General features: G+C 44.1%; 1 protein-coding gene across 19 annotated transcripts in view, besides 2 other annotated features; it reads left to right on the top strand.

Moving 5' to 3' along the window:
- Positions 1-1,017: 1,017 nt before the first annotated feature.
- The window catches only part of MCTP1 (multiple C2 and transmembrane domain containing 1), a 581,405-nt gene continuing 569,346 nt past the window's right edge, over positions 1,018-13,076 (top strand). For all 19 annotated transcript variants that reach the window (XM_047417718.1, NM_001393537.1, XM_047417715.1 and 16 more), the window contains exon 1: positions 1,018-2,256. In XM_047417718.1, the coding sequence (XP_047273674.1) occupies positions 1,537-2,256 (720 nt within the window). In that variant the 5' untranslated portion in view covers positions 1,018-1,536. The remainder of the gene's footprint in view (positions 2,257-13,076) is intronic.
- Positions 1,670-1,729: a silencer, noted in NCBI's record as "silent region_16181". NCBI's record gives its function as "represses an Ori minimal core promoter by ATAC-STARR-seq in GM12878 lymphoblastoid cells {active_cell/tissue: GM12878}" and the evidence as "EXISTENCE:reporter gene assay evidence [ECO:0000049][PMID:35858748]".
- Positions 1,810-1,929: a silencer, noted in NCBI's record as "silent region_16180". NCBI's record gives its function as "represses an Ori minimal core promoter by ATAC-STARR-seq in GM12878 lymphoblastoid cells {active_cell/tissue: GM12878}" and the evidence as "EXISTENCE:reporter gene assay evidence [ECO:0000049][PMID:35858748]".

The raw sequence follows: 13,076 nt of genomic DNA, 5'->3' as shown, positions 1-13,076 counted from the left end.
TTTTGCATATTAGAAATTCTGTTTATTGTCTCGCATCACCTCCCAACCCTCACCCTCACAATAAGCTCCATGTGGGTGGGACCCTGATGCCCTGTTCACAGCTGCATCCCCAGAGCCTATCACAGTGCCTGGTATATAGTAGGTGCTTAATAAATATTTGTTATAAAGGTAACAAAAACAAAACAAAACAAAAAACTTAGGTTGGTAACACCTCCAAAGCATACTGCTAGCTAGACAAGACTGATCAGTGTGCTACCGCAGCTTAGGGAACTCTCCCGTTTTCCCCATTTAGGAGGACGAAAGAGGCATTGTGTTGCTGGCCTTTCAGAAGTCTCTCCTAGCAGAATCAGAAGACCCTGGCTGAGCAGCTTTGGGAGAAGCAAAGTCTGAATGAGCTAAAAAGCCTTTTCCGTTTGCCTTGCAACAAGCAAATGAAGTAACCAAAGAAAAAATGCGCTTGAATGAAAAGAACAAGATTCTGTGCGTGCCGAATCGGATCAAAGGCAGTGCGCATCACCCATCTTCGTCCACCGTAAACTCCCTGCAACTTAAGGGCTGGCTTTATCGTCAGACTCCGGAAATGCTAGAACCTGATCATAAGAGACCAGTGCAGAGGCAAATAAAGAAAAGGGAGGGGTGGATGGGGATGAAGTCAAGACAGAAGAAATTAAACTCTCGTCTTGGACCCAGGGAGCGCAACGGGGCGGGGGCAGACGTCTTCAGCTTTAGAACTCCGTCGGGTTCATCGCTCAGTGTGGACGATCGGCGCCCCCACGAGACCCATCGAGGGCACATAGTTTCCACTCCAGCTCGCTTCATCCGACCCAGACGATCGCCAGCGCGGCCAGCGGCCAGCGCACAGCGAGCTGCCTGGGCAACTGTGGCCGGATCCTAGGGAGCAAGCTGGCTTCGGGCCCTACCTAGCTCCACCCGGCTCCTACCGGCCCTCCCACCTAGGAGCTGGAGGATGGTCCCGGGGCGCCCCAGGGGGACTGCTGGTCCCCGGAGTCTCCAGCCAGACGCGCCTTGTTGTGTGAGCCGCGTGCGCGCCCAATTTGGAGGCAGCCGCCCCCGCCGCTGACAGGTGCTGCCCAGAGGGCGCCGGGTGCGGTCCCTGGCGCAGCTGGACGCGCACGCCCCGGTGCGTGCAGCTTCCCGAGCTCGGTCAGAGAGAAGAGGGAGCCAGGGCGCGGCCTGGGGGACGCCAGTGGACTGGAGCCGCGGAGCTTCGAGGGAAAAACTTTGCAGGCGCCGCGGCCGGGATTCGGTTACGGCTCCAGCCCACCCCAGCAGGTGCGGGAGGAAGAGGCAGCGCCGGAGTCCCGAGGCCAGAGAGCCTCGGCGGCGGCGGCCGCTTCTTTCCCCCGAGCTGGCCTGAAGTCGCTGGGCACTCCCGGTTTCTGCTGCTGCGCCCGCCGCCGCCGCCGCCGCCACCGCCAGCGCCGCGGGGACCCGGGAGGAGGTGCAGCCGAAGAGGGAGGAGAAGCAGGAGGAGGAGGAGGAGGAGGAGGGGAGAGGAGGAGCAGGGGGTGGAGGATGGAGCCCCGGGCTGCCGCGGCGGGCGAGCCAGAGCCGCCGGCGGCGTCCTCCTCCTTCCAGGCCCGGCTCTGGAAGAACCTGCAGCTGGGGGTGGGCAGGAGCAAGGGCGGCGGGGGCGGGCGCGCTGGGGGTCCAGAGCGCCGCACTGCGGACACCCCGTCGCCCTCCCCGCCACCCCCGGTGGGCACAGGGAATGCACCGGCCAGGGGGAGTGGTGCAGGCAGCAGGTGGAGCGGCTTCAAGAAGCGGAAGCAAGTGCTGGACCGAGTCTTCTCCTCCTCGCAGCCCAACCTGTGCTGCTCGTCGCCGGAGCCCCTGGAGCCCGGCGGCGCCGGCAGAGCCGAGCAGGGGTCCACGCTACGCCGCCGGATCCGCGAGCATTTGCTCCCCGCCGTAAAGGGGCCCGCGGCGGCCTCGGGAGCAGCGGGAGGGACGCCTCCTGGCGGACGCTCCCCCGACTCAGCTCCTTCCTCTTCCTCCGCCTCATCCTCCCTGTCCTCCTCGCCCCAGCCTCCCCCGAGGGGGGACCGCGCCCGAGATGAGGGTGCACGGCGTCAGGGCCCCGGGGCGCACTTGTGCCACCAGAAGAGCTCCTCTCTGCCGGGCACCGCCTGCCTGGAGCAGCTGCTGGAGCCGCCGCCTCCTCCCGCAGAGCCGGCGCGGAGTCCCGCGGAGTCTCGGGCCCCGGAGACGGGCGAGGAGCACGGCAGCAGCCAGGTGAGTGCCGGTGGCGCGGCCGGAGACAAGGTGCGCGGGACCACGCCTCCCTCTTCAGGCGTTCACCACCCGGGGAGCGGGGGGCGGGGGCCGGGAGGCGGGAGGAGAAATGCTATTAATTCTAAGTAGATGAAACAGTCGAAAGAAAACATCTCGCTCTGGTTTAGCAAAGATGAAAGAGTTCTGACTTGCACCCGGACTTTACTTTTGGTAGAAATGATACCTGTCACCAGAAGCTTTCTGAGTAGTCAATGAAAAGTTAGACCTAAAGTGGGTACTTTTTAGAGTTCTCCTGAAAGGAGATGTCCAGCCAAATCTCATCTTGGCAAAAGAAAAAACTAACCCAATAACTTAAAAACAATTACGATCACGTGTGGTGGTGTGGAGAGGTACCATTGGAAGCAAATGGCTGGCGGGAAGAAATAGAAACGTGGAGAGGTAAATTATGGCACATGTGAGGTCCTGTGCCAGGGAAAGCATCATCTCAGGCCTGCATCCGGCACCCCTTTCTTAAACCTTCCTGCTGCAATTGGATCACCGCCCTTCAAGTGGACAGCGGGAGCGTCTCCTCCCAGTTAGTCAAATGCATATGTTCCTATGAGCCTTGTGAAGTTTTAATAGTCACCTGAAGCACTTGCTTTTTAAAGTATGCTGCTTTATACATCATGTTGATTGCTCAGACAAGAGTCAAGGTTTGTAAAAGTGCTTTTACTAGAAATTTTATGTGTGGGACCCACAATGTGTCCCACTGAATAGCCGTTTTTACTCCCTCAATTTCGAAGAGGCACTGCTCTTTTTGTAAATGTTTATCAAATCATTTTAATTCTAGAAAATATTTTGGAAGTTTCACTCTGCCAGAGACCTAAAGAACATTTTTCTCCCAATATATCTTAGTTTACTTACACTTTCTCATTGTTTTGACTCTGATTAATTATGTTAGATGAATGACACTTGCATTAAAACTTTAGTTATTAGTAGATTAAAAGCTCAGCTACAAAGAAACAGGCTGTGTTTGAAGGGTAAGATACGGGAATAGATAGGCTTTCAGTTGGAAGTTTTTATAGTTCATGGACTGATTTCTTAGTGTAGCTCCAGAAAGTAAAGCAGAATATGAATATGTTTTGTTCCTTAATAAACAAAATTGCTTGCTGTAAGCAAACACCTGATGATCCAGAAAAATATTTTATTCTCAGAAGAGTAAGTAGAGATAATAGTGACAAAAAGACCAAATACATTTACCTTTCCTGTCATCTTGAAAGTGAACTGGATAGAGCCCCTGTTTTTGGTTTTAAAAGTAAAGTGATAAATGGTTTTAGAAGAATGTTTTAAATTCAGTATAGATGAATACTATATATTAAAGGAAGTATTTATTTTTGAGCGTGTACATAATCCTAATGTAGAAGAATTTCAGAGTTGGGGAACTTTACATTTTTTTCTTTCACTATCAAGGATAATAGAATAACAAATAATAATTGAATTATTTTGAAAGGTATATATCATATTACCGTGAATGTTAACTTATTAAATCACATTACAGTTCACTGAACCAAGATATTTTTAAAGCAAAAATAGATAACTCTGAATTTTTTATGTTCCTTTTTGCCAAAAAGTTTTCAGAAACTGTCAATCTTTATTAAAAAAAACACTACTATGTAAGTATGAATTTTGTATACAAAAGATATAAACTTATTCTGGAGAAGATACTAAATTAACACTATTATGTATGCCTTCACCATATGCTGGGCATTTTATAGCCCTACATAGTTTAACCCTCACAGCAGACCTATGTGATTGTCACTTTACAGATTCGTAAACCAATGCTCACATAGGTTAAATAAGCTTTCCAGGGTCACGTAGTTAGTAGATGACAGAGAGAAGTTTTGTACTCAAGTCAGTCTCCAGAATCTTTTTCCATTATGACAGCTACCTTTGACAACTTTTAGAACTTGTTCCATTTTTTAGATGTCTTTGGTCTTACTGATGAAAGTAGAGCCTTGCAAGTTTACGTATATTCTGGAGATTTTTCCCCATCCCTATATACAATCAATTCTATGATGGATTAGCTATCATAATTTGTAATTTGTTCTGTGATGTATTGTTGCATGTATATTTTGTCACGAATGAGATTATCATGATCTATAACTCTGAAGAAGCTTTTCATTATAGAGAATCAGCATTTCGACATAGACATAAGAGAAATAGAAAAGCTAAAATATCTTTCAAAAAATAAGAGAAAGATGGGATATAGGCAGACAGAATGGTAAACCCTGAGGGACTTGCCCAATGCCAGACACAGTCCCAGAAAGAGATACCATTTTTGGTCCCTAGCGTCTGCTGCTCATGGGGCCTTGTTCTCTGGGAAGTGGAGAGATTTCTCTGTAATGAGTCACAAATAATGGCTTTCAGCAGCACTCTCTGACCAATGTAAAAGAGAGGATTTCTCAGTCCTGGAAATACCTCTCTGCCCATCTCAAAGGAGCCCGGCTCACCTCTGAATGGGAAAGAGGAAAAAATGGAATTGGAACCTGGAAGGGGATGCATTCAGCTGCTCAGGAGTCAGCTTAGCTTTGCAGCACTCTTCCAAGCTTCCTGAATATCTCAGAGATCTTTCCTTACTCTCTCAGCAGCTCATCTCCAAAGTGACCTGGGCATGGGAAAGGGGTGTGTAGCACATACAGATTTCAGCTTTATTCACAGTTCACAAGCACAGTACTCAAGAAAGAAACACAATAAAAGTATTTAATACATCTTTAGAGTGCCTAGATGAAAAGACTTTTCTTTCAAGGCAGAAATAAAATGTATTGCAAAAATAGGCAAATTGTTTAATTTTTTCTCTTGTTCTCTGCTTGATCCTGGCATAAGCCATGTTCTCCAACACACTCTCCACGTCTCCACCTCCCTAGCCCAGCACGAGGCCCCAACAACATATGTGCACGTACTCTGACAGTGGGTGGAGATGTTAAGCAAAAGCAAAGAAAAAAAAATCAGTTTGGACGGCTGGGGAAAGAGATTTGGGAGTCACGGGTATATATGAGTAAAAGTGAACAAACCAGGCTACTTTCCATGTGCCTGCTGGTCCTCTTGCTATTGTGTTTTCATTAGCCAAACACACTTTGCAATATGTATTAACAGACTTAATAATGCCTTGCTGTTGGGGGATGTGCATTATTTCAAATGTTCTGTTTTGAGAATAAGGAAAAAAAAATATCCCTTTCTTCCCACTGATTCTGGTTCACGTGTTGGGCCATATTGTCATACCAGATGCATTTCATTTTCTGCAACACAGTTGGAAAAGATGCTTTCTCAATTTGTGTGCATATCAAAAATATGCCAATTTTATGTATTCTGCCTTGACGAGTTACTAAAATTATGTTTTGCTAGGATCAGAAAGTCAGTATTTTAAGATAAAGAGTGAGGAATGAATACGTTGCATTTTTTTAGTATTTTAACAAAAGCATGTAGTGTTTATGAATGCTGAACTTTTATTTTTTTCTCTTTAAATAAATTTTGTTAAAATTGCTTTCACAAAGGATAAACTATTTTTGAAAAGAAGTAGGAAAATTATTCAGTGTATGTTAGATATGTTTTGAAACATAGCAAGAGGAATCTATTCATTGGGATAAGATTCCTACAACATATCTGTAAGCCCTGATAAAAAGTGGAAAAAAAATTTTCTACAATTAAGTCTATACATGAAGTGTATCTTGCTTTATTAGCTGAGCTTTTAAATAAAGCACATATTTAACAAAATGATTCAAAAACATGACTTGGGTTGATTTTTGCAATTTTTCAGATGTTTTTACTATGACTTCAAAGAACACAACTCCATCTTAAAGAAGGCACAGATTTAAAAACATAATTCCTATTATAAACGACTAAAGTCACTGAAGAAAACTAATAATATCAAAATCAAGCCCCTAAAACAATGTTAGTAGCTTTATACTGGTCTAGCTTCAGAAATGACCCCTTTCATATTGAAAGTGAGAGAGGGTAGATGAGACCTTAGGACATTTTGGAGCAGGGTGGAAAGTGGAGTTTGATGTGTGATAGCATTCATGAAAAGTGCTCGGATCATCAGCTTATTCCAAAGAAAGGGAGTAAAGAGGATGACATATTTCCCTTTAACCTTTACTTGCTATAATAAGTGTCTGGCAAATTTGAGTTGAACTATGAATCTTGCATAAATGGAAGTGTTAGCATGTAGATGTTATGAGAGATTGGCTTAAACTATAGCAAGTGTTCAATAAACATTAGCAATTGCTGCTGTGCTTGTTATTATTATTGGAAAGTATACTGAAGTTTTGCAATTGCTGCTATTACAAATAAGTGTGTGGTTGAAAAAAATTAACAGGGTGCTTTGCCATTCCTTCTTATTTAATTTAGGATATGAACTATGTTACTTGCAGTGTTGGAAAAAGTAGCCTGTGACAAATCAAGGTAGTACTGGTGACATTACAATTTTATACAGCAATGGAAAAAATCTTACATTATTTTTAGCAAGTATGTATGCATTATCATGAAGAATGAATATGTTATGTTGAGGGAAAAAAATGGGATTAGCAGATTCATTTAAAAATAGAACATTCTTCTTCCTCTTTCTTTTACCTCATTGTTTGAAAATGATTTCACAAAATAAAGGTTAATAATATATTTTTGATACCTAAAGGAAACATGTAATATGATTTCTTTGATCATAATGCTTATTAAATCATTTACCAATCCTGGTTAATGGAGTATAAATAATATGTCCACATAACTTTATAAGCATTGACAAAATCTGCAGATTTAGAAGTTAGGTTATATATATTTTTTCTTCTTGGTCTATATCTATTTATAATATCGTAGCAGGCATCTGCATTAGGTAAGCAGAAAATAATTTTTTTTTTTTTTTTTGAGACGGAGTTTTGCTCTTGTTGCCCAGGCTGGAGTGCAATGGTGCAATCTTGGCTCACCGCAACCTCTGCTTCCCAGGTTCAAGCAATTCTTCCACCTCAGCCTCCCGAGTAGCTCGGATTACAGGCATGTGCCACCACGCCTGGCTAATTTTGTATTTTTAGTAGAGACGGGGTGTCTCCATGTTGGTTAGGCTCGTCTCGAACTCCCGACCTCAGGTGATCCGCTCACCTCGGCCTCCCAAGGTGTTGGGATTACAGGCATGAGCCACCATGCCTGGCTTGAAAATAATTTTTTGAAACAGAAAGTTCTTTGCTTTAATTTCTTTTTGCTACCGGAAAACTTACTAAAAATCACATATTTCCCTGCCTCAGTAAGTCAAGCGTTCTAAATAAGACCATTTCTTGATAACTGAGGGTCATTATTTGCATACTGGGCTTTGTTTGTTTGTTTGTTTAATGTGAACGAAGTAGATATTATCCTAGAACTTGCTTTATATAAACGTGCATGTTTTTATAAAACTAGAGTATAAACCATACCTGTTTATGACATGCTTACCTTTCTGTAAAGCTAATTATTGAATCAAAGAAGAGGCACCTTTTTCTCAAGTCATTTGTTCACTTAACAAATAGCCTTTACAGTTTTTGTAAATTTTGATTTGTCGGCACCATTGAAGATACAGCCTTTTTCTACATCATTAACTTTATGTGCCATTTTAATTTGCTCTTCACCATCAACCTTTTCTTCTAACTCACAGTGCTTTTTATGAATCAGAGGTGAGAAGTTTATCCCTAACAATTCAATATTTTATCCAAATACATTTTCCCCTCTAATATGTAGCAGTTTCTTACCATTAGAAACTTTTTTTTTTTTTTCTGGCAGAATATCAGGCTGCAATGTCCCTAAAGTCTCCAAATATTTGTATTTAACTGTAGTATGGAATATTGTATTCCAAATACAATATTCCATACTACAATATGGAAAACTGTATTTGTAACATAATGAGATTGTATTGCAATATGGAAAACTGTATTTGTAATATAATGAGATTTAAAAGTCCTGCTTACTGCCTTCTTGAGAGAACAATTTTCTTCTCTTCAGTGAAGTCTTTTCGAGATATTTTATACCAGCCTTATTTCCTGTTCTCTTGGGTCCTAGCCAATTTGGAAAATTACAACAAATATAGACAAGTGGACCTCTGGACATCTTAGGATCTTTGTATCCTCCTAATCCCACTGGGTTCATTTAGAGAGGCCCCTTCAGCATTAACAATCTGAACTTATTTTGCTTAAGCCTGAACCACCTTCACTTGCCTCGCCAGCTCTGCTGGAGTGGAATTTGGCAATCCCTAGTACAATTGACCTAGTGAATCAGCATTGTAAAACAGTTCAGGGGAAGACTACTCAATAAATGGTGCCTGAATGAATGAAGGGATGAATGGGTGGGCTAGAACTGTTCAGAGATAAGACCTCTGGAAAAGCTTCAAAATCGCTTTATGTTTGTGAAATGATATTATTGCCTTCTCAATTCCAAGTCCTTTTAAGCCTGGCAGATATATTTGATGTTCCCCTCTTCCACCAGCTGGTAGCTTGGCTTTTGCCAGCCTAGACTTTAATTCTGGTTCTTGGGCAGACAAGAAGCAGAATTAAAGCCTGGTGAGGGGAGGATGTGGTACCTACTAAGTGGCTGCCATATTGTGCTCCCATGGAGGATGGAAAAACATCCTACTTCTGAGGTCTCCGGGTCAGGGATGTAGTTCTTGGTATTGGACTCTGACTCTGGGTATCCATTTTTCGCACCCAAGTCTCCTTTCTGGCCTCTGACATTGCACCCACACATCTGGATTTCTGATTCCTGCCTATACATCCTCACTTAGCTATGCCTCTGAGTCTTGAATTCTGCCTGGATCTTGGCTCAAGATACTCTCCTTCCCTTCCTTCTTCACTGCTACTTCTCCTTGACCCATCTCCTTGACCTGTTTTTTGTTTGTTTGTTTGTTTGTTTGTTTTTTGAGACCGAGTCTCCCTCTGTGGCCCAGGCTGGAGTGCAGTGGCACGATATGGGCTCACTGCAAGCTCCGCCTCCTGGGTTCACGCCATTCTCCTGCCTCAGCCTCCCGAGTAGCTGAGACTGCAGGCGCCCGCCACCATGCCCGGCTAATTTTTTGTGTTATTAGTGGAGACGGGGTTTCACCATGTTAGCCAGGATGGTCTCAGTCTCCTGACCTTGTGATCCACCTGCCTCAGCCGCCTCCCAAAGTGCTGGGATTACAGGCGTGAGCCACCGCGCCCGGCCTGACCTGTTTTTTGTACCTAGCACTTCTTCTGCATCCCAAGCCCATTATCTAAGAAAGTCTCTTATCTTCCCTTTACTTCCAGCCATGACTCAGATTAAAATCCCAATATTGGCTGGGCGCAGTGGCTCACGCCTGTAATCCCAGCACTTTGGGAGGCCGAGGCAGCGGATCACCTGAGGTCAGGAGTTCAAGACCAGCCTGGCCAATATGGTGAAACCCCATCTCTACTAAAAATACAAAAATTAGCTGGGTGTTGAGTAGGTACCTATAATCCCAGCTAGTCGGGAGGCTGAGACAGGAGAATCGCTTGAACCCAGGATGCAGAGGTTGCAATGAGCTGAGATAGCGCCACTGCATTCCAGCCTGGGCGACAAGAGTGAAACTCGATCAAAAAAAAAAAAAAAAAAAAAAAAAATCCCAATATTGACCAAGAATCCTGTCCTCACTAGCCTGGTTCATTCTGTTGCCTCTTAAATACCAAGTGTGTGAAGTGGAGTTCACACAAGTGGCCAAGTGATATTTACATTGACCCCTCCTGTCTAATGCTGAGCTTAGTTAAAAAACCCCAAATCCTCCCTCCAGAAAGTCTGCATTGCCCATCAACTGCATTTGCTTATAAAGGACGTTTTTCTCCCATGGAGGACTAGACTAGAGCAGATTTTTTCACTGAGCATGGTTCATTGTCTCTGTGTCCTTGTCCCTTTCCCTCCTATTTTTAAACATCTCACATGCCTATTCTTTAACATCCACACCCACTTTCTTAGTCCTGCCAGCTTTCTTCTTTCTCCTTAATATTCTCTCTCATCCCGACTTTCTCTGCTTGCAAGATCTGATTCTTGTAACAACCATTTAGCATCCAGAGATGTGCTGTTCCATGTGGCAACTGCTACCCGCATTTTGCTATGGGACTTTGGAAACATGGCTAGTTAGAATTGAGATGGGCTATAAGTGTAAAATGCATACATGCACACTGAATTTTGAAGACTTGTACAAAGAAAAGAATATGAAATATCCCATTATTAAACTTTTTATATTGATTGCGTGTTGGGATAACATTTTGGATATATTAGGTTAAATTAAATATAATATTAAAGTTAGTTTTACAAGTAAAATTACATATGTGTCTCATACTTGTATTTTTATTGGATAACACTGATCTAAAGCAGGGATTTCAAACTCCAAACTCCAATGCCCACAGGGGCCACCAAAGTAAAGACAAGGAGCCAAGAGGGTTTGGTGGGGCCATGGTGGACCAGGGAGCCCCTGCCCTCTGGAAGGAGCAGCTGCTTCTCAGCTGAATACTGGCACCTGGGAAAGAAACCGTGTTGCCAGAGCTTCTAGATTCTTTAATAGAAGCCAAATCCCAGATTTTTGTGTGAAGTCTTTAGATTCCTGAATTTTTGTCAAATAAATAATATATTTTTAAAAGCATCATAGGTTAAATAAAATATATCTCTGGCATGAATTTAGCTATCAGTTAGAACTTCTGACTCAGAGAGGTCATATCTGGTTTCTCCTCTCCCCACTTCCCCTTCCCCCAAGTGCTGGGCAAGTGCTAGGCATGTGTTGTCTGGGGCAATACATGTAAGCATCAATATGACATGTAGGCGTCAATACATTTTACAAACTAATGGGATGAGTTCACCAGCCAGGAGAAATGAGTGGTGAGATGAAGGTGAGGCTGCAGTGGTTGCGGGGGTATGTGGAAATTGTGGAGGTGGGGACAGGGAGAGTGGCCAAGCAATTTGGCTCTATACAGATGATAAAACAAAACAGTAGCCTTTGGGAGGCCGAGGCGGGCGGATCACGAGGTCAGGAGATCGAGACCATCCTGGCTAACATGATGAAACCCCGTCTCTACTAAAAATGCAAAAAATTAGCCGGGCATGGTGGTGGGCGCCTGTAGTCCCAGCTACTCAGGAGTCTGAGGCAGGAGAATGGCATGAACCCGGGAGGCAGAGTTTGCAGTGAGCCAAGATCACACCCCTGCACTCCAGCCTGGGCGACAGAGCAAGACTTCGTCTCAAAAAAAGAAAAAAAGAAAGCAGTAATTGGAGAAGGAGAAAGTGTTGGAAATGGTTCATGGGAAGGTTTTTATAAATGGAGATACCTTGAGTGAGTTGATGGGGCAGAGCCTATGGAGAGGGAGAGGTCAAAGATAAAGGAGAAAGGGGGATAATTGATGGGAGAAGGTTCCTAAGTACATGGGTTGGGGTGGGTCCCACAGGCCATGGGAGGGAGGTCTCCCTTAGCCTTTAGCCAGAAGAAGCACCCCTTTTCCATTGCAGATGGAAGGAGACAGTGTGGACGTGGATGCAGGGAGGTCTGTAGGCTTGGTGGTAACAGTTTGAGGGTGTTCTGTCTGGCGGCCACTTCCTAGTTTTGAAGTGTGATTAGGATTTGGACATAGGGAGATATTGAAAGACTGTTGCCTAAGCACAAAGGCAAATAAGTGTCCTGTGTATGCAAAAAATGGGAAGTCAGTAGCGGGACTGAAAGCTAGGGTGTGGGCAGAGGGGTAGTGAGAATGAAGGTGAGAGTGAAGGTGTGGCCAGATATGAGGGCTGAGACGTGTACTCTCCAACCCTGGAGGCAATTGAGCAGGGTAGTGACTGGGTCAACCTGAGCCTTAGGAGGGCGAAGCTGATGTGGAAACAGGAGAACATGTGGAGGCCACAGTAGTCTCAGTGAGAGCTTGCAGCTGGGCTGTGCTCTGACCTTGGTGACAGAAAGATGGAAAGATTTGCGGGATCAGGGGATTGGCTGAATGTCCAGGGAAGGGGGAGTAAAAAGAGTTCATCACAGCGTATTTTCCCCTTTTCTTATGTTTTTGATTTTTCCTAGTTCTGTTCAGAGATGCTTTTATTGAAACATCTTTTTTCCCCCTGGGTAGGGGTTGAGTTTTGGGTTTGCATTTCTGCAGAATGGCTGAGGGTGCCAGGCTCCTAAGTGTCAGATTGTCACCTATGTACTCTAATAGCTCCTATTCTTGAAGTTATTTGAGTTCTTCAGAATAAAATGGTTCTCTTTTTTGTGCAGTGTCAGGCACTGAAAGTAGTGAGTGTTAATAGAGCAAAAGAAAGGGTAAATAAAACATGTTAGTTTAAAAAATCAGGCAAAACAAGAAAACCTCCTACATATACCTGTTAGCTGAATCTTTATGGTGCTTGATGCCAGGGTGGCTACATATTTGGAGAAATAGTTATAATGAAGGAGGTTGGGATCCAAGGGCTCTGTTGGAAATTTTCATTCTTAATCAAGGTAGTGTGCTGCAAACATGTTAAAATATGCATCCTCTCTCCTGTGCAAGGCTGATCTGTGCATGGCAAATGGTCCATTTCTGAAAACTGCCAATAGATATTCTCTCAAAATAGAAATGATATTCTATCCATTCCTGTTCTTATATTGAAATGTAAAATTGATTTTGATACAAGAATAATTTCGCTATTTTGATAGTTGCTTTTGAATAGTATTTTCACCACACCACACTGGGACTCCAGATGTTTTCCAAAATATCTTTTGGGATTGGAAGAGATTTTAGAGACAAGCTCTGGGTCACCACAGAACAGTTGCCTCCTGCGCCCTGTGGGGCCAAACCCCCAAATCAGCAGGGACCACGCTGTCTCTAGCT

This window comes from Homo sapiens, chromosome 5, assembly GCF_000001405.40.
Source record: "Homo sapiens chromosome 5, GRCh38.p14 Primary Assembly".
NCBI lineage: Eukaryota > Metazoa > Chordata > Mammalia > Primates > Hominidae > Homo > Homo sapiens.
This window is presented reverse-complemented; position numbering and strand designations above follow the sequence as displayed.